We start from the raw sequence: 18140 nt of genomic DNA, 5'->3' as shown, positions 1-18140 counted from the left end.
AATTTCAAGAGAGGTTTGGTGGGAAATCATCAGGCATCCACTGTACAGTTCTGATTTTGCTCCTTCTGACTTCTTTTTGTTTTCTAATCTTAAATCTTTAAAGGGCACTCATTTTTCTTCAGTTAATAATGCAAAAAAGACTGCATTGACATGATTAAGTTCCCAGGACCCTCATTTCTTTAGGGATGGACTATATGGCTGTTGTCATTGCTTAAAAAAGTGTATCAAACATGATGGAACTTATGTTGGGAAATCAAGTTTATATTTGTAATTTTCATCTTTTAATTCCATTTTTATGAACTTTTTGAAGTCCCCTTTTATTGTTAGCTACATATTGTTGTCTGGTTTAACCTTTACTTTCACATTCCTGGCCTTCAGTGACCTCTCCCAGTGACAATCATATGTGGACTTGGGACATCTCTGATGACCTATCTGGTTGGTAAACTGTACCTTGTTTCAGGCTGGGTTTAAGGGAGCTGTTTCATTATTATAAGTACGTGTGATGTTCTTAACTAACTTTTCATGTGGCTTTGCAAGCTCTCTAGGCATCCAAAACATACACCCTTTGAGACTCAGGTTGGTCTCTTGTAATCTCAGCCTCCATCTTAGAATAGCTGTCTTACTTACCTTGGTTGTACTCAGTGACAGCATATTGCTGGGATATTGAGTGAAGGGCTAGTGCCACCGTCCAAATTAGCTCCCTCTCATACTAGCCACTCACAGAATACTCTTTACTTTCCTTGTACTGCAGTTACCATGATTTATATCATATATTCACTCATTTGTTAAAGCCTTTCCCCCAACCCACTGGGAGACCTATTTGCTTCTTCGCCATATCCCATGCACCCAGTGCCTGGAACCTGGTAGGGGGTCTGTAAAGACTAGATCAATAAATGCATGAATTAATTAGCATGGTCACTCTAGGAGATGGCAAGGTTTGGGACAAGAGAGTTCAGATCTGGGGCTCAGTGGCTTTCTGAATCCCTCAGCTGTAAAGAGAAGTAAGGTCTGCTACAGATGGGCAGTGGAATAATGGAAAATACATTGGCCTAGAAGTCAGGGACCTGAGGGTCAGGCATTCTACTGCATTTTCTATGTAACCTCGAGAAAGCCTTATAAGGGTTGAAGGAGATGTTTTTGTGAAATTGCTTTGTAAACCATAAAGTGATATGGTAAGATGTTGTTCATCACCCTAAGATCTGGCCCCTGTCTATTTGTCCAAATGTATTTCTTATTAATTTAATGTAGGTAGGCCAATCTTCTCATTAAAAAATATTTTTCTCTCCTTATTGCAAAATAATGCATTGTAGTAATAAAAATATCAGAAAATTCAGAAGAAAATAAAAATCATCTCTTAAGGTTACCATCTAGAAATAACACTGTTCATATCTTATTTATAGTCTAAACAATTTTTTTCTAAGTGAGTTTCTCAGGTGTCAGCAGTGGGGGCAAGACAGGGCAGCTTTCCTCTCCTGTTTTCCCACTGCACTGGCTTTGCTGAGGGCTGCTGCCTGGGAAAACACCAGAGAGTGAAGTCTCCCCATTTGTTTGCTTCCAGCATCCTGGTAGCAATGCCAGTGGAGCAGGGGACAGGGGTGCCAACAGGTGGCTTAGAGAGGGGGTTATCTTGCTCCAGCACTTTTCATTATCTAAAAGTGCTTATTTGGTCTGTGTATTTTTATTTGTCTCTGCCCACTGGAATATAAGCTCCACAAGGACAATACCTTGCTGGATTTGCCTGTTGCTGCCTTTGGCACCTAAAAAAAGTGCCTGCACAGAGTGAATATTCATTGAACAAATGAATGAACATGAGCGCTGTGTTACCTCATATAGAACAGGAAACAGCTGATGAATATTTGCCTCCCATGAATTGTGCATATGAGAGGCACAGAGGCCAGCCTCCTTGGTGATATACATCTGGACTTCAGGTCTAGCTGTGGTTTGAGCTTTGGCATTATACAATAGATAATCCCAATCCCCTTTTTGTAATCACTACTGCTCCCTTCAGTCATTTCAAGCATGCTCTCAGACCATGCTACGCAGCATGTGGCCAAAGCATTCTGTAAAATTGCTCTCCAGGTTCAGTCGTAACACTCCCAAACTGTCCTGTGCAAGGAAGCCCATCCTCTCCCTGTCCCTAAGCCTGTCCCTCCTCCATCGTTTTTCAGCTTTCCCTCCTTATGTAGCCCCTAGGCTTTCTTGTACATCCTACTGCATTTCCTTCTCAGGGAAGGCAGTGATTCTTGCCACAATGCTTACATCGCTATCTTCAAAGGTGAGCTCCTGTGGTGTAGACAGCGTCTGTGGATTGGGTGGAAAGAATTTCAAGAGCACTTGCTGAGAGCTGGAGCTCTGCTGGGGGCAGGGGGGCAGTGTCCAATTAACCCTGAGGCTACCCCCTTCTCATGCACAAGGGCCTGCTCCCATCAGGCTGGACATAATCTCTGGATTCAGGGTCACTAAGCAGACTTATCATCGCTATTCCTTCATCTTCCCTCCTCTTCTCCAAAACCTGGAAGAGGATGAATTAGGCCTGTTTTCTTCCAGAACACTGCAATGCGGTAGGAGCAATGTTTCCTCCCAAGTTTTTCCAAAATTGCTATAAAGCCACTTCTGTTGTAACCCTCAGTGGAAAATAAGGTGTGATTCATCTCTTGTGTGTTTCCTAGGTGGAATTCAAGTCACCAGTGGCCAAAGTACCCTCCAGGTGTGAAGAGTTGCAGGTCCTCCGAGGAGCCGGGAGCTGCAAGGTGAGTGAGCGAACAAAAGGCGACAGGTTGCAGAGTACTAGATCTGCCCCCACCCCAGACCCCAACTTCAGGCCCTGCCTTGTTAGCACTATTGTAGCTGTTTTTTAATATTCATGAGGATCAGCAGTGGGCCCTTAGATTTGAGAAACAATTCGTCAGCCTTCTTGAGGACAGTTTTAAAAATACTAGATGATGGAGGGTCTATTCCACCTTGTTGGAGTATCACTTAAGTTCATTTAAGGGAGGCCTCTGGGAGAGGGGGTTTTGTCACTTTGCCCAGCTCTTTTACATGTGGGCACGAGGGTCTGGAAGCCTCCAGAGAGGGTCTGCTAGCCCCTCTCTGCAAAGAGCTGCTCCTCAGCCACTGGTCACTCACAGAGCCAGTTCCACTGTGGAGCCTGTCCAATCCTGATTTCCCTGCTGTCCAGCCTCCCTTGGCAATGAGGAGGGTGTGTTTACTTTGGTGTACAGCATCACTGTTCACTTTCACATCTGCTGTCTCATTTCAGCCACTTCCCATGGGATAGTAATATAGTAATAGTTTGGATATTTGTCACTGCCCAAATCTCATGTTGAATTGTAATCCCTAGTTTTGGAGGTGGGCCTGGTGGGAGGTGATTGGATTATGGGGGTGAATCCTCATGAATGGCTTAGCACTATCCCTCATGGCTTGGTGCTGTACTTACCATAGTGAGTGAGTTCTCATGATATCTGGTCATTTAAAAGTGTGTGGTACCTCACCCCCAACTGTGTCTCTCTCTGTTGCTCCTGCTTTGCCATCTGACATGCAAGCTCCTGCTTCACCTTCTGCCATGAGTAAGAGCTCCCTGGGGCTTCCCCAGTAACCAAGCAGATGTTCGCACCATGCTTGCATAGCTTGCAGAACCATAAGCCAATTAAACTTCTTTTCTTCTTAAATTACCCAGTCTCGAGTATTTCTTTATAGCAATGCAAGAATGACCTAATACAGATAGGCAGGGAGGAAACTGTTATCCCCACTTTAAAAAAAAAAATGGCCAACTTCCCAAGGTCACAGGGTGGCAAAGTTCACACTTGAACTTTATTTTTGATGCCTGAACCTTTCTATGATACTATGGTTCTGCTAGCCTCTTGACAGATGGGGTTGAGACAGGATGAGAATAGGGAAGGCAGAGGGAATGAAGACTAGGGGTTTGATGGGGAAATAATTGGGAACTGTTGGCTAAGATACCAAGTGGGGTTATCTCTGCAGGCTAGATTCATTGTTGTCTTTGTTTTCCTCTCATTTTCAACCAGCCACTAAAATCCATGATAATAATATGCTATCCAAACTCATAGTGATTCATACAAGAAAGACTATGGTTTGGAGAAAATGTCAAAATTTAGCCCTTTGGATGGCCTTTTATTCCACCTCAGTATAGCATCTTGTATGTTAAACTCTAACTAATACTGAATTTGTTACCAAGTGCCACTGTAATAAATACCTAAAAATGTGGATGTGGCTGTGGAATGGGTAATAGACAGAGGCTGAAAGAATTTTGAGGTACATGCTAGAAAAAGCCTACATTGCCATGACCTGACTTTTAAAGGTGGTTCTGGTGAGGGCTCAGAAGAAGAGAAGAGCTGTAGAGAAGGCCTCAATCTTAAAGAAGATGTAAGTCATCCTGAACAGTACACTGGTGGGAATATGGATGATAAAAGCCATTCTGATGAGGTCTCGGATGAAAATGAAGAACATGTTATTAGACACTAGAGGAAAGGCCAGTCTTGTTATAAAGTGGCAAAGAACTTGGCTAAGTTGTGCTCACATCAGTGTTTTGTAGAAGGTAGAACCTGCAAGTGATGAAATTGGATATTTGACTGAGGAAATATCTAAGCAAAGTTTAAAGGAGTGGCCTAGTTTCTCTCGACTGCTTAAAGTAAAATTTGAGAGGAGGACTATGACTTAAGATGAAATTGCGAGTCAAAGGCAGAGAACTTAAAGACTTGGAACATTCTCAGCCTATCCCTTTAGAGATGGAACATCTGTCGTGCCCCTGTCCCATCATTGTTTTTGGAAGCACCTAACTTGTTTGATTTCACAGGTTCACAGCTGGTGAGGAATTTGTCTTAGAATGAATAATACCGAGTCTCAACCATATCTAATTTACATGATATTTACATGAGATTTTGGACTTTCTGCCTTTGAGTTTATGCTAGAACGAGTTGAGACTTTTGAGGCTGTTGGAATGGAACGAGTGTATTTTGCATGTGAGAAGGACATGAGTTGGGGAAATCAGGCTTGGAATGCTACGGACTGAATAACTGTGTCACTTTAAAACTCATTATGTTGAAACTTAACCTCCCAAGTGGATGATAGTAGGAAATGGGGCCTTTGAGGACTCTAATGGGATTAGTGCCCTAATAAAAGAGGACCTAGTAAACGTCCCATCTTTCTTTCTTTCTTTCTTTCTTTTTTTTTTTTTTGCGGTGGAGCCTCGCTCTGTCGCCAGGCTGGAGTGCAGTGGCACAATCTTGGCTCACTGCAACCTCCGCCTCCTGGGTTCAAGCGATTCTCCTGCCTCAGCCTCCCGAGTAGCTGGGATTACAGGCACGCATCACTATGCCCAGCTAATTTTTGTATTTTTAGTAGAGACGGGGTTTCACCATGTTGGCCAGGATGGTCTCCATCTCTTGACCTTGTGATCCACCCACCTTGGTCTCCCAAAGTGCTGCAATTATAGGCTTGAGCCACTGCGCCCGGCCAACTTCCCATCTTTCTTACCATGTGAGAACACTGTGAGAAGTTGCAATCTGCAACTCAGAAGAGGGCCCTCACCAGAACCCAACCATGCTGGCACCTGATCTCAGACTTCCAGCCTCCAGAACTGGGAGAAATAAATGTCTATTGTTTATAGGCCATCCAGTCTATGGTATTTTGTTATATTAGCTGGAATAGAGTGAGATATTAAATACTGGTAAGACTTAGCACAGACAAACAGAAAGGGCATGCCAGATGACTGAGCTATATATTTGAAGATGCTGAGGCACAAAAAAGCTGAGAGAACAGGAAATACTTTGGAAGGAAGTGAACGTGGTAGGAGAAGAGGGAGATGACTCCAAAGAAGTAGTAGTGGTCCTGTGTGTTTAAGATTGACACTGAAAACAACAGGGAGGCATGATCAGGTCTGCATTTTAGACAGGTCTTCCTAGCAGTGTTCTTAGGGCTTTGTTTAACTGTTTTCTGGAAAGCAGTTTAGTAATACACATTAGGAGCCTTTAATATGTGCATACAAAATGCCTCTGGTTCAATCATATTATATCTGGGAATGATAATAATAACAATCAGCTACCATGTAGTCCATATTGTATCAGGTATTTTCGATATGCTGGGTGCATTATTTTTGTTTAATCCTTACAACAATTCTGCAAGTAAGAATCATTAGCCTCATTGTACAGATAAAGAAACCAAGGTTTTATTTACTTTCTAATTTTTTTTCTTGAGACGGAGTCTCGCTCTGTCGCCCAGGCCAGAGTGCAGTGGCACAGTCTTGGCTCACTGCAACTTCCACCTCCCGGGTTCAAGCGATTCTCCTGCCTCAGCCTCCTGAGTAACTGGAATTACAGGCATGTGCCACCATGCCCGGCTAATTTTTTATTTTTAGTAGAGACGGAGTTTCACCATGTTGGCCAGGCTGGTTGTGAACTCCTGACCTCAAGTGATCCATCCACCTCAGCCTCCCAAAGTGCTGGGATTACAGGCGTGAGCCACTGCGCCCAGCCAGAAACTGAGGTTGTAAAGAGTCAGGCAGACTTAAGATTGAATTCATGAATTAGCTGTTTTCCTACAATAAATTACTTAACTTTTCTGAAACAGCTTCCTGTGGTGCTACTATAAAGAATAATGCAAAGCAGATTTAAAGAAAACCTCCTCTTTATTGGATTATCCACTCATTTGGATTATCTCTACCATAGCTGACTTTCATTTCCTTAAACATTTGAGAGAAGCTTCTGCTTCAAAAATTAAGTAAAATGAGTCAGAATTGTATGGTGTAGAAAATTACTGGAGAGTAGTTTTATTTTTGGGGACCGCTCTGAGAGTTGTTTGTGCCTACAGTTTTTATTGCACACACAAGTGGCTCTTCTCACCTCCTCTACCTCTGCTGTTTGTACGTTGTCCCCTGCTAGATTGTCAGTGCATTGTGAAAGACAATACAAATCTGTATCTCCCACATCAGCTGCCAGGTTCAGTGCCTTCCACGTAGCTGGAGAAATTGCAACCATTTTTCCAGAAAGAGTTGGAACATCATAATCCAAGAGAAAGAGAGGCTTTGAGAATAGAGTGCTAAGAGTTAAGGGCCTAGGAGCAGACACAGAAAACATAGATATTTAGGTCTGGAGACTTGAAGGTTTGGAACTGGGAGAATATATCGCATAGAAAATATACAAAATGTTGTCATTAATGTTGGGTCAAAAGAATTATCTTAGATTGGGCTCCCAGAAGCCAACCTTGAGAGGAAGAGTCATATTCAGGTGATTTATTAAGAAAATGCTGGCCGGGCATGATGGCTCACGCCTGTAATCCCAGCACTTTGGGAGGCCGAGGCCGGCGGATCACGAGGTCAGGAGAACGAGACCATCCTGGCTAACACGGTGAAACCCCGTCTCTACTAAAAAATACAAAAAATTAGCCGGGCGTGGTGGCGGGCACCTGTAGTCCCAGCTACTCGGGAGGCTGAGGCAGGAGAATGGCGCGAACCCGGGAGGCGGAGCTTGTAGTGAGCCGAGATGGCGCCACTGCACTCCAGCCTGGGCGACTGAGTGAGACTCCGTCTCAAAAAAAGAAAAGAAAAGAAAAGAAAATGCTTCCAGGGGAACCTGATAAGGGATGGGGAAGCAGGATGGGAGGTAGGAGAAAGCCACACATAGTGAGATCTCAGCAAAGTTCCAGCCTCTGTCCCCAGAAAAGTGTTCTAAAGTGTAAATCACAACTAGAGTTTGTCCCCTCTGGAGGCAGGAGGACCGGGCTTTCATAATTCCACGCCTGTCAGTCGTTGGATAAGGGCTCTTTAGAGGGGTGGGGGAAACTTCCAGGCACTTCTGGCTCTGTCCATGTGGACAAAGTGGGTCAATCAATAGCTCAAGGGTCCACCTTCTAAGAGTTACAGGTTCAGAAAGATAGAAGCGAAAGCACACGGATGCTGAGGGAGGGTCCACAAAAAGTATTCAAGGGTATCTGAATGGAGCATCGATAATACCACCTTGATAACGGATCTGCAGCCCCGACTTTGTCCAGATACATCACACTGATCTGCTTCTAAACTTCATCATCATATGCAACTTCCTTACCTGTAAAGTGGGGATAGTGTTACTTTACTTGCTTATATTACAGCATAATTGCAAAAACAAAACAAAAGGAGATCTGGTATATATAGAATTGTATAGACAACGATAAGAAAGGATGTTATACCAAGCCAGGTGTTATTATTACATCTCTCTCTTCCGGGCCCAGGGAATACATGAGCAATTTGTCCTCTTCAGGCACTTGTCTTGCAGGCATCAGCACTGACAGCCTTTGAAAAAAGCTTGTTCATGGGAAGAAAGCAGACACTTTTTTAATGTTGATAAATTTTGTAGCAGTTTCTTTAATATATACCAGACGCCTTGAAATACATCTAATTAACCACCAGATACCATGCTGTGGCTATGTTTGGCTTTGATGTTCTCATTGGCTTTAGCAAGGAAATATTGGAAAGCTAATCATAATAGGGCTTAGTTCTTATAAAATGCCTTTTATCTTCAAAGTGGTTTACAACCACTAATTATTGAAGGAATTAGGGTGAACAGCAACCATCTCACAGAGACCTCAAATCATTATCAAGGCTTTTAATGTATCTTATAATAGAGCAAGAGAAGTGTGAAGGGGGCTGTTTAATGATAGTTGTCCAGACCTGGAAGAGTATTTTACAGAGGTAGGAGACAGCTGTTCCCTGTCTCCCTTGAGACTAGAACAAGAAAATTGGACCTAATTTGAGGAGAAGGGATGCTGGATAGAGCATGGCAGAAGCTACAGCAGGCTGCAGAGTGGAAAGACTGCGCATTTCAAAGGCAGTCAAATGCACCTCCATCCACCTGCCCCTTTATATGGCTGGTGGGGCATATTCACCTTCTTGGTGGCCTGGGGTAGGGAAAATCACACCAGGAAATCCTGTCCAGCTGGGGGAGTCAAGGGTAGATTTTTGGACCTCTTGGTTGTTTCTCTTCATGTAATTTTGTTTTGTTTTGTTTTTCGTTCTTTTATTAGTTCATTTTATTATAATATAATCTGAGGTGGAGGAAGCCAATTTGATTTCAATGTAGTAATAATAGCTGACAGACTGGGTGTGGTGGCTCATGCCTGTAATCCCAGCACTTTGGGAGGCTGAGGCAGGTGGACCACTTGAGGTCAGGAGTTCAAGACCAGCCTGGCCAACGTGGTGAAACCCCGACTCTACTAAAAGTGATAAAAAAATTAGCTGGGCGTGGTGGCACACACCTGTAATCACAGCTACTTGGGAAACTGAGGCAGGAGACTTGCTTGAATCCAGGGGCCAGAGGTTGCCGTGAGCTGAGATCATGCCACTGCACTTCAGCCCGGGCAACAGAGTGAGACTCCGTCTCTAAATAAATAAGTAATAGCTGACACATGTAAGTTGCTACCCTGGCCCTTCATTTTACAGATGAGGAAAATGAAGTTCAGAGAGCTTAAGAAACTTGCCAGAGTCATACAGCTAACTCAGGCACTCTGGCCTTGGAATTTATGTTCTTATCCACCACAGCAGGAGGCCTATCAGAGAAGGGGTGGTATTTGTCCAAAGCCCCCTACTTCACTATGTGTCAAAGAAATAAATAACACTCTCCTATGGAACAGGGACAAGTCTCATTTCTGGCTGGGTTTGGCTCCTGTGCCAAGTGCTTTCCTCCTGCACGGGGGTGGAGAGAGCAGCCCTGTGAGACGCAGCTCAGCATCTCTGTTCCTCGCCATCAGGGTCCCTGCATCTGCCTTGTCTCCTGCCCCCACTCAAGGGCCTGCCCAGGTCATGGGGTGTATAGAAGAGGCACAGGCATGAAGAACTGGTGATCCCCCTGTGAAACCCCACGTTTCCCCCCAAGTACTAAGACATTTAATAATGGGTCCTGCCCTATACGTTTAGGGTTGAGGGGATACTTTCTAAAGAGGTATCAGCTACTATCACCTGTGCAAACAGTGCTAGGGATGCTGATTCCCTTTTCCAGAAACATCAGCCACTCAATCTCTTTCTTGGTGAGAGCTGATAGATTGTTGGTAGGTTGAAATTGGTCACAGTGGGAATATTGACACCACAGAGATAGGCAGATGCTACAAATTAGGGATGCCCCCTACACCAACCCAGAAAATTGATTGTTAAATATTGTAGTGTCTTTTTTTCTGACACCAAATGTGTATCCTATAAGTCAATTCAATTCCGACATTATCCAGTTAGTGCGGACCCCACAGTTTAAGGGGTCTGTTCCACAAGACGGCACTCACATCAGATACTAATCCCAAGTCCTCCTCCTCTCTGCAGTTTGAAGAGACCCACCTATCTCTTTGCCTTTATCAGGCATCGCCAGCTCCGAGTTAATCACTGGGGCTTCCAGGTACTGCTGTTTATGGAGGATCCCTCCCACTGAAGCCTGGGTGGTTAAAGAGATGTCAATGGATCCTGGAGATGCTTTTTGGCCTTTCAGTTTCCTAACTCTGTGCTGCAGGAGACATTCAAGGGAAATCTGGATGACTTAGCGGCTGCTTTCAGGTTTGCCACTGGTGTGGTGTGGAAGGAGATACCAGCTGTTCTCTAGATTAAGGGGAAAATTAGCTTAGAACCCTTAGGAGGGATTTAGGTTTGATCTACGAACTTTCTGATTGTAGCAGTTACTAAGCTGCTAGAATTACCTTGGATATCTGGGAAATCTTCCTGGATATATTTAAGGACTGGATAATTCCCATCTGTTTATAACGGCTTTTATGGAATCATTCTGGAGGGAGGAGAGTGGCCTGGAAACTCTCACAGAGTCAGGCAGATAAAAAGTATTTTCTCTTTTCTCCTTGTGGTGGTCTTTTCCCTTTGCCTTTAGAATATACTCCACCATTTCCTCCTTTATGGATGTGCTTACTGTCTGTTGGTCTAATGGCAAATCTCTGAGACAAAAAGCTATGTCTAGCCCTGAGATTAAGGCATCCTTGGGCTTCATCCAAATGGGAGACAGCCGAGCTCATGCAGGGCTTCCACTTTATTTGGAAATGAAAGTAGAAGCACTTCTGCTGTTTTGTTTTCCACTGGTCTTGAGAAAGCCACAGACGCTCAGCAAAGACTGCAGGTCTAGCCAGGGGACACAGGGTTAAGAGAGAAGAGGCTGAAGTCGTGTTAGATCAGTGGTCTTCACAAGGGGCTCTGCCTGCTTCTTTATTTGTAGGGTTTATTTAGCTCCCTCCACAAACAGACTGAAAGTTTTCACAGGGAAATTGCTTAATTTTCAGCCATTTCCTGCTTGCCAGAGTTGAATGTAAAAGACAGAATCAGGCTCCTGGGATAAGTACAATGGACTGGACTAGATTTGCAAGGCCTGGGAGACAGAAGAAGGTTCTGACCCAGACCCATTCTTCTTTTCTATTTTTTAATAGATGTGTTCAGCTATTGACATATAATAGACTGCATTATATGTAAAGTGTACCATTTGATCAGTTTTAATATACATTTGTATATGTGTATATGTGTGTGTGTATGAATAAATAAGTCCAGGAAACTATCATGGAATCATATATCATATTCATGAACTTAAGGTAGCAGACATATCCACACCCCCCAAAATTTCCTGTTGCCCCTTGGTAATCCCTCCTTCTCACTCCTGCCTACTGTCACTTCTTTTCTTCTAACAAATGTTTTCATTTTTTAGAGTTTTATATAAATGAAATGTGCCTTTCTTGTCTGGCTTCTGTCACTCACATGATTATTTTGAGATTTGTTCATTTTGGTGCTTTGGATCAACAGTTCATTCCCTTTAATTAAGAATGGCATTCCATAATTTGTCTATCCATTTACCTGTCAACGAACATTTGGGTCATTGTTTTTTGCTATTACAAATAAAAGTGCTATGAACAGTCATGTACAAGTCTTTGTATGTACACATGCTTTTCTTCTCTTGAGTAAATATTTAGGACTAGGATGGCTGGATTAAACACTTGTTTGACTTTCTAAGAAACTGTCAAATGTTTTCCAAAGGAATGGTACTGCTTTACATTTTTACTAGCAATATATGAGAGTTCCAGGTGCTCCACATCTTTGCCAAGAGTTGGTACAGTCAATCTTCATAATGTTAGCCATTCCAATAGGTGTGTAGTGGTATTTCATTGTGGTTTTCAGTTGCATGTCTCTTATAAGTAATGAGGGTGAATATCTTTTTATGTAGTTGTTTGATATCCCTATATCTTGTTTGGTGAAGTGCCTGTTCAAATGTTTTGCCCATTTTAAAAAGTGGGTTGTTTGTTTTCTTATTAATGAGTTTTGAAAGTTCTTTATGTGTTCTAGATAAAAACCCTGTATTAGATATGTGTTTTGTAAATACTTTTTCTCAGTCTGTGGCTTGCTTTTCATTCACTTAAATTGTATCTTTCAAAGAGCAGATGTTTCAAATTTTGATGAAGACCAATTTGTCGTATTTTTTTCAAATGAATTGCACTTTTGTTGTTATACCCAAGAAACTTTTGCCAAAGCTAAGGTCACAAAGATGTTTCCTTCTTGAAGTTTTATGTTTACAGGTTTTACATTTAGGTCCATGATACATTGTAGTTATTTTTTGTATATGGTACAAAGTGCGAATTAAAATTCTTTTTGCAGCTGGGTGCGGTGGCTCATGCCTGTAATCCCAGCACTTTGGGAGGCCAAGGTGGGCGGATCATGAAGTCAGGAGATCAAGACCATCCTGGCTATGGTGAAACCCCATCTCTACTAAAAATATAAAAAATTAGCTGGGCGTGGTGGCGGGCGCCTGTAGTCCCAGGTACTCGGGAGGCTGAGGCAGGAGAATGGCGTAACCTGGGAGGTGGAGCTTGCAGTAAGCCAGAGATCGCGCCACTGCACTCCAGCCTGAGCAAGACTCTGTCTCAAAACAAAAAACAAAAAAGCTGTTTTTGCAAATGGATATTCAATTGTTTCAGTATCATTTGTTGGAAAAATCTATGCTTTATCCTCTGAATTGCCTTGCATCTTTGCCAAAAAATCATTTATATACATGGGTCTATTTTTGGCTTCTCTGTTCTATATTCTGTTCCATTTATCTGTTTGTGTGTCTTTATGCCAGTAGCACTGTCTTGCCTACTATAGCTTTATAATAAGTCTTGAAATCAGGTAGTGTTTGTCTTCCAATTTTGTTCTTCTTTTTCAAAGTTGTTTTGGCTATTCTAGGTTTTTCTCATTTTTGTGTGAATTCTAAATCAGGTTATCAGTTTCTACAAATAAGCCTGGTGGGATTTTGACTGGAATTGAGATGAATCTATTGGACTTAGGAAGAAATGACATCTTAATAATATTGAGTCTCTCGATCCCATGAACATGGCATATCTCTCCATTTGTTTTAGGTCTTCTTTGTATTCTCATTGATATTTTATAGCTTTCAGTGTATAAGTATTAGACATCCTTTGTCAGATATATTCATATCTCATATTTTTATACAATTGCAAATGATATTTTTATTTCAATTTTAATTTTTTTTTGTTAGTATAGATAAATACAATTGATTATCATATACTGAGTGTGTGTCCTGCAACCTTGTCAAATTCACTTATTTTATAAGTAGCTTTTTGTGAATTTCATCAGATTTTTTTTATATAAGCACTCCTGCTGTCTGGGAATAAAGACAATTTAACTTTTTCCTTTCCAATCTGAATGTATTTTATTTCTTTTTCTTGCTCCATTGAGCTAGCTAAAATCTCCAACACAATGTTGAATAGAAGTGGTAAGAACAGATATTCTTGTCTTTTTCTTGACCCCAGGAGCAAAACATTTGGTCTTTCACCCTTAAGTATGATGTTAGCTGTTGTTTTCGTAGATGCCCATTTTCGTGTTGGGCCAGTTCCTTCCTATTCCTAGTTCTCTTAGTTTTTATCAGGAGTAGCTTTTGTCAGATGCGTTTTCTGTATCTATTGAGATGATCAAAAGGTTTATCTTTTAAAATTTGTTAATATGGTAAATTACATTATTGATTTTCAAATGTTAAACCATTCTTGCATTTCTCAGATAAACCCTGGTTGGTCAGGATTATCATCTTTTTATATGGTGTTGAACTCAATCTGTTACAATTTCCTGAAGAATGATTACATCTGTGTTCATAAGGGATATTGGCCTATTTTTTTTCTGTAATATCTTCATTCAGTTTTGGTATCAGGGTAATGCTAGCCTCATATAATATGTTAGGAAGTATTTCCTAGTCTTCAATTTTCTGAAAGAGTCGGTATAGAATTGGTATTACTTATTCTTTAAATATTTGATAGAATTCATCAATTTAGCTATGCGGACCTGAAGTTTTCTTGTGGGAAGATTTTTTGTTTAACTATCAGGTCAATTTCTTTGGCAGATATAGAATTATTCATGTAATCTATCTCTCCTTGAGTGAGCTGTGGTATTTAGTGTTTTTCAAGGAATCAGTTCATCTAATCTAAATTGTCAAGTTTGTTGGCATAAAGTTATTCATAATATTCTCTTATTAGCCTTTTAATGTCTATAGTATCTGTAATGATATCACCTCACATTGCTACTATTGTAATTTGTGTCTTGTCTCTTTATTAATCTTCTCAAAGAACCAGCTTTTAGTTTTGTTGATTTTCTCCATTGCTTTTCTGCTTTCTATTTCATTTTTTCTTCTCCGATCCTTATTATTTTTTTCTCCTTACGTTGGGTTTAATTTGTATTTATTTTTCTTGTTTCTCAAGGTAAAATCTGAGGTCATTGATTTGAGCCCTTTCTTCTTTCCAAGTATATATGATTAGCGCTATAAATTTTTTCCTTAGTACTGCTTTAGCAGTATCCCACAACATTTGATATATTGTGCTTTTTTTTTTCCATTTAGTTCAATATATTTTTTCATTTCCCCTTTCCTTTTTTTCTTTGGCCCATGAGTTGTTTAGAAGTGTGTTACTGTCTTTCCAAATACTTGGACATTTTCCAGAGGTCTCTCTGTTATTGGTTTCTAATGTAATTCCATTGTGGTCAGAGTACATACTTTGTACAAACTGAATTCTTTTAAATTTATTAAGACTCATTTTATGACCCAGAATATGGATTATCTTGGTCAGTATTCCATGTGTATTTGAAAAGTATATTTAGCTGTCATTGGGTGGAGTGTTCTATAAATGTCAATTAAGTCAAGATGGTTGATAGTATTCAAATCATCTGTATCCTTACGGATTTCTGTCTACTTGTTTTATAAATTATTGAGAGAGAAAGTTATTGAAATCTTTGGATATCATTGTGACTTTGCTATTTTTCCTTGGAGTTCAATCAGTTTGTGCTTTGTGTATTTTGAAGCTCTGCTATTAGACACATAAGTGTTTAGCATTATTATAGCATATTGATGGATTGACCTTTTATCAATACGAAATGACTTTTTAATTCCCGCTAATATCCTTCCTTCTGTAATCCATTTTGCCTGATATTAATATGCAGTATTCTCTTAACTAATGTTAATGTGTTATATCTTTTTCCAGCCTTTTACTTTTAACAGTTTGTGTCTTTATGTGTAAAGCACATTTCTTGTAGGCAGGATATAGTTGGGTTTCCTCAACATAGGTAGTCTACCAAGCTGTGCCTGTGTTTCCCCTCCCCGTGCCATGACCTAAAAACTCTTTAGATAATAAGACAGGGCACACTTGGGGTTCATTTTGTTTCTTTCCTATGTCTCAGGAACAGAGCTTGAACTAGAGTAAGATAAGTGAAGCCCCTATGACAAAAAAAATTTAAGGCAGAAATCACTGTCAGATGCACAATTTTGCAAGTGAAAGCCTCCTTAGATTTTTGTACCCTAAGCAGCTGACTCTTAGGAAGATACTAATTCTCAGGGTTGTGTAAGTGCAGGGTTAGCTCCTGAGAGTAGATGTCTTTTTAAATCCTGTTCGGTAGGGGCTTCACTCAGCTCAATATAGTCCTGCCCCTGCTTAAGGATCACCATCCTTCATTCCTGGTGTCTAGTGTCTTGAAAACCATTTTTAAAGTTATATTCTCTCTGGAATTTTGGTTATTTCAATTGGGAGGGTAAATCCAGCCTCTGATACTACATCTTTTCTGGAAACAGAAGTCTAGACTTACTCATTATAAGATAAAAATTCCACATATAGAGCTACCTGCCTGAAATAAAAATGCTTGCAGGCCCTCCTCTGAAGACTTCAGCAAAAGATTGATCTTCCTTCATGCAATGATCAGTGAGTACTACTATGTACCATATTCTAGGCTAGAAACTGGCGGTAAAATCGAATAAGACATGGTGCCTGTCTACTGGTTGCTCATAGCTGACTTCTCTAGAACTACTAGTTGATTCTTTCATGTCATGCATCACCTGTTGTTACCAGGTGGGCAGAGGTAGAGGGAAAGTGGTCTAGGGAAGTTAGAAAGCCAGCAAACATCAGATCTGGAACTAAGAAATCCTCTCTACTATTTCTCAGGCCCAGAGTGACTTGAGGGCTCACTTAAGGTCACACAGCTATTTAATAGTAGTTGATTACTACAGAGTCTATATAGGACTCAATCTAAAACATCTTCCCCAACTATCAGTCACCATTATTGAAATCCCACCATTAGGGACTCTCAGAGACTCATTCATTAAGGGCAGGGACCATGTCCTATTCACTATTTCACCTAACACTATTTCACAGTGTTAGCTCAGAGCTTGCTGCATGGTAATCAGTAGATGGAAATAAATGAATGGATGAATGAATGAATGAATTAAAGACGTTCCCGTTAAAATGATGAATATGCCTCTGGGAGGTGATTTAGATCAGTTGGGGATGAGTACACTGTTAAGAGCAAGCCCACAACTGGGTCTCAGGAAGGCAATGTGTATAGCAGAAGAGGTCTCTGACTGTGCTAGACCCTGATACAAATTAACCTCTCCAAAATTCAGTTTCCTCATCTGTATAATGGGAATCCTAATTATACTTACCATATGGGAGGATGTCAGGTTCAATAAGATGAAGTATGCTAGGGGCCTGGCAAGAGAAAGCACTCAAGGAATGACAGATATTATTAACCTCATCTCCTGGGAGCAGCAGGTGGGAGTAGGGTGGGGCCTCTTGGGTGCAGAGACCTTGCAGACAGAGTCCCGGCAAGGTACCAGGAAGACAACAGCCTGTTCTGCTCATGTGGTATATTTACAGAAGCTCACGTTACCACCATCATTATCCAAAAGCCCTTCCAAAGCCAGCACTTCATGCAGGCGGGCTGAACAATGCACATAAAAGCCATGGAGACACAGCCCTGCCCCCTCAGGCTTCCATCCAAGGCAGCTCCCTCTGGGGAAGACAGAATGAAAATGTTAAATCTGCTTAGGATTAGGTGATGGTCAGTTCACACACAGAGATGACGAGAAAGAACATTTCCTGAGGATGGGGCTGGTCAGATGGGTCAGTGTGGGAATTACATGTTCAGCCACACGGAGCAAAGGGTGTAGCCTGATCTGCAATGTCAAGGCCTTATTACATGAAGTTCATTCCTGAGGCCAGGAGCTCTTCCAGCTCTGGCCCACAGCTCTTGACAAATCTGGTTAAGTGGAAGATCATCACTGAAATCAACAGATTTTACATTGCTCTGGACATGGTATAGCTGAGCCTGAGGCCCAGGGCCTGGTAATCAGAGAAACCTGCCTGGTGATTCACTTCTTTTCCTCCTTTCTTACTCACATGGACACAGGAAATATGATCCAGAGCATCACATTCTCCAGCTCGCCACAAAATGCATGACAGTGCATATCTCTATTTTTAAACCCAAATGTCATCGTGTATTTAAAATGTGGACCTATTCTACTTCCAAAAAGTCTTCAGATGGAAAAAAAAATCCAAGGATGTTATTATTTCCTTTTATCCCATGAACTTAGTTTTGTATTAATAACATTTATAATTCATAACATTTTATGATGTGGCGATTTCACAGACTTACAGATGCTCAGAACTAGAAGGGACCTTAAAGACAAACAGGTCCAGTGTTCTCCTCATACAGATAAGGAAACTGAGGCCCAGACAGGTACCGACTTGTTCAAGGTCATATAAGCAGCAGTGGAGTCCAGAAGCCAGGTTTCCGTATGCCCTCTTCCACATCACATTGCAAGACACCCTCTGAAAACACTCCTTCAGGGTCTTTAAAAGTCTGATTGAAGTGTATGATTTGTGAT

At 41.3% G+C, this 18140-nt stretch overlaps 1 protein-coding gene across 12 annotated transcripts in view; it reads left to right on the top strand.

Moving 5' to 3' along the window:
- CRACR2A (calcium release activated channel regulator 2A) overlaps positions 1-18140 on the top strand; it is a 137782-nt gene that overhangs the window by 37123 nt on the left and 82519 nt on the right. For 11 of the 12 annotated variants that reach the window (XM_011521034.4, NM_001144958.2, XM_006719021.4 and 8 more), the window contains one exon: positions 2670-2750. The gene's annotated coding sequence lies outside the window, so the exon portion shown is untranslated. Of the gene's footprint in view, positions 1-2669; positions 2751-9332; positions 16180-18140 lie in introns of those variants that run through there. The other variant, XM_011521036.4, reaches the window with a different exon arrangement.

This window comes from Homo sapiens, chromosome 12, assembly GCF_000001405.40.
Source record: "Homo sapiens chromosome 12, GRCh38.p14 Primary Assembly".
NCBI classification, from domain to species: Eukaryota; Metazoa; Chordata; class Mammalia; order Primates; family Hominidae; genus Homo; species Homo sapiens.
This window is presented reverse-complemented; position numbering and strand designations above follow the sequence as displayed.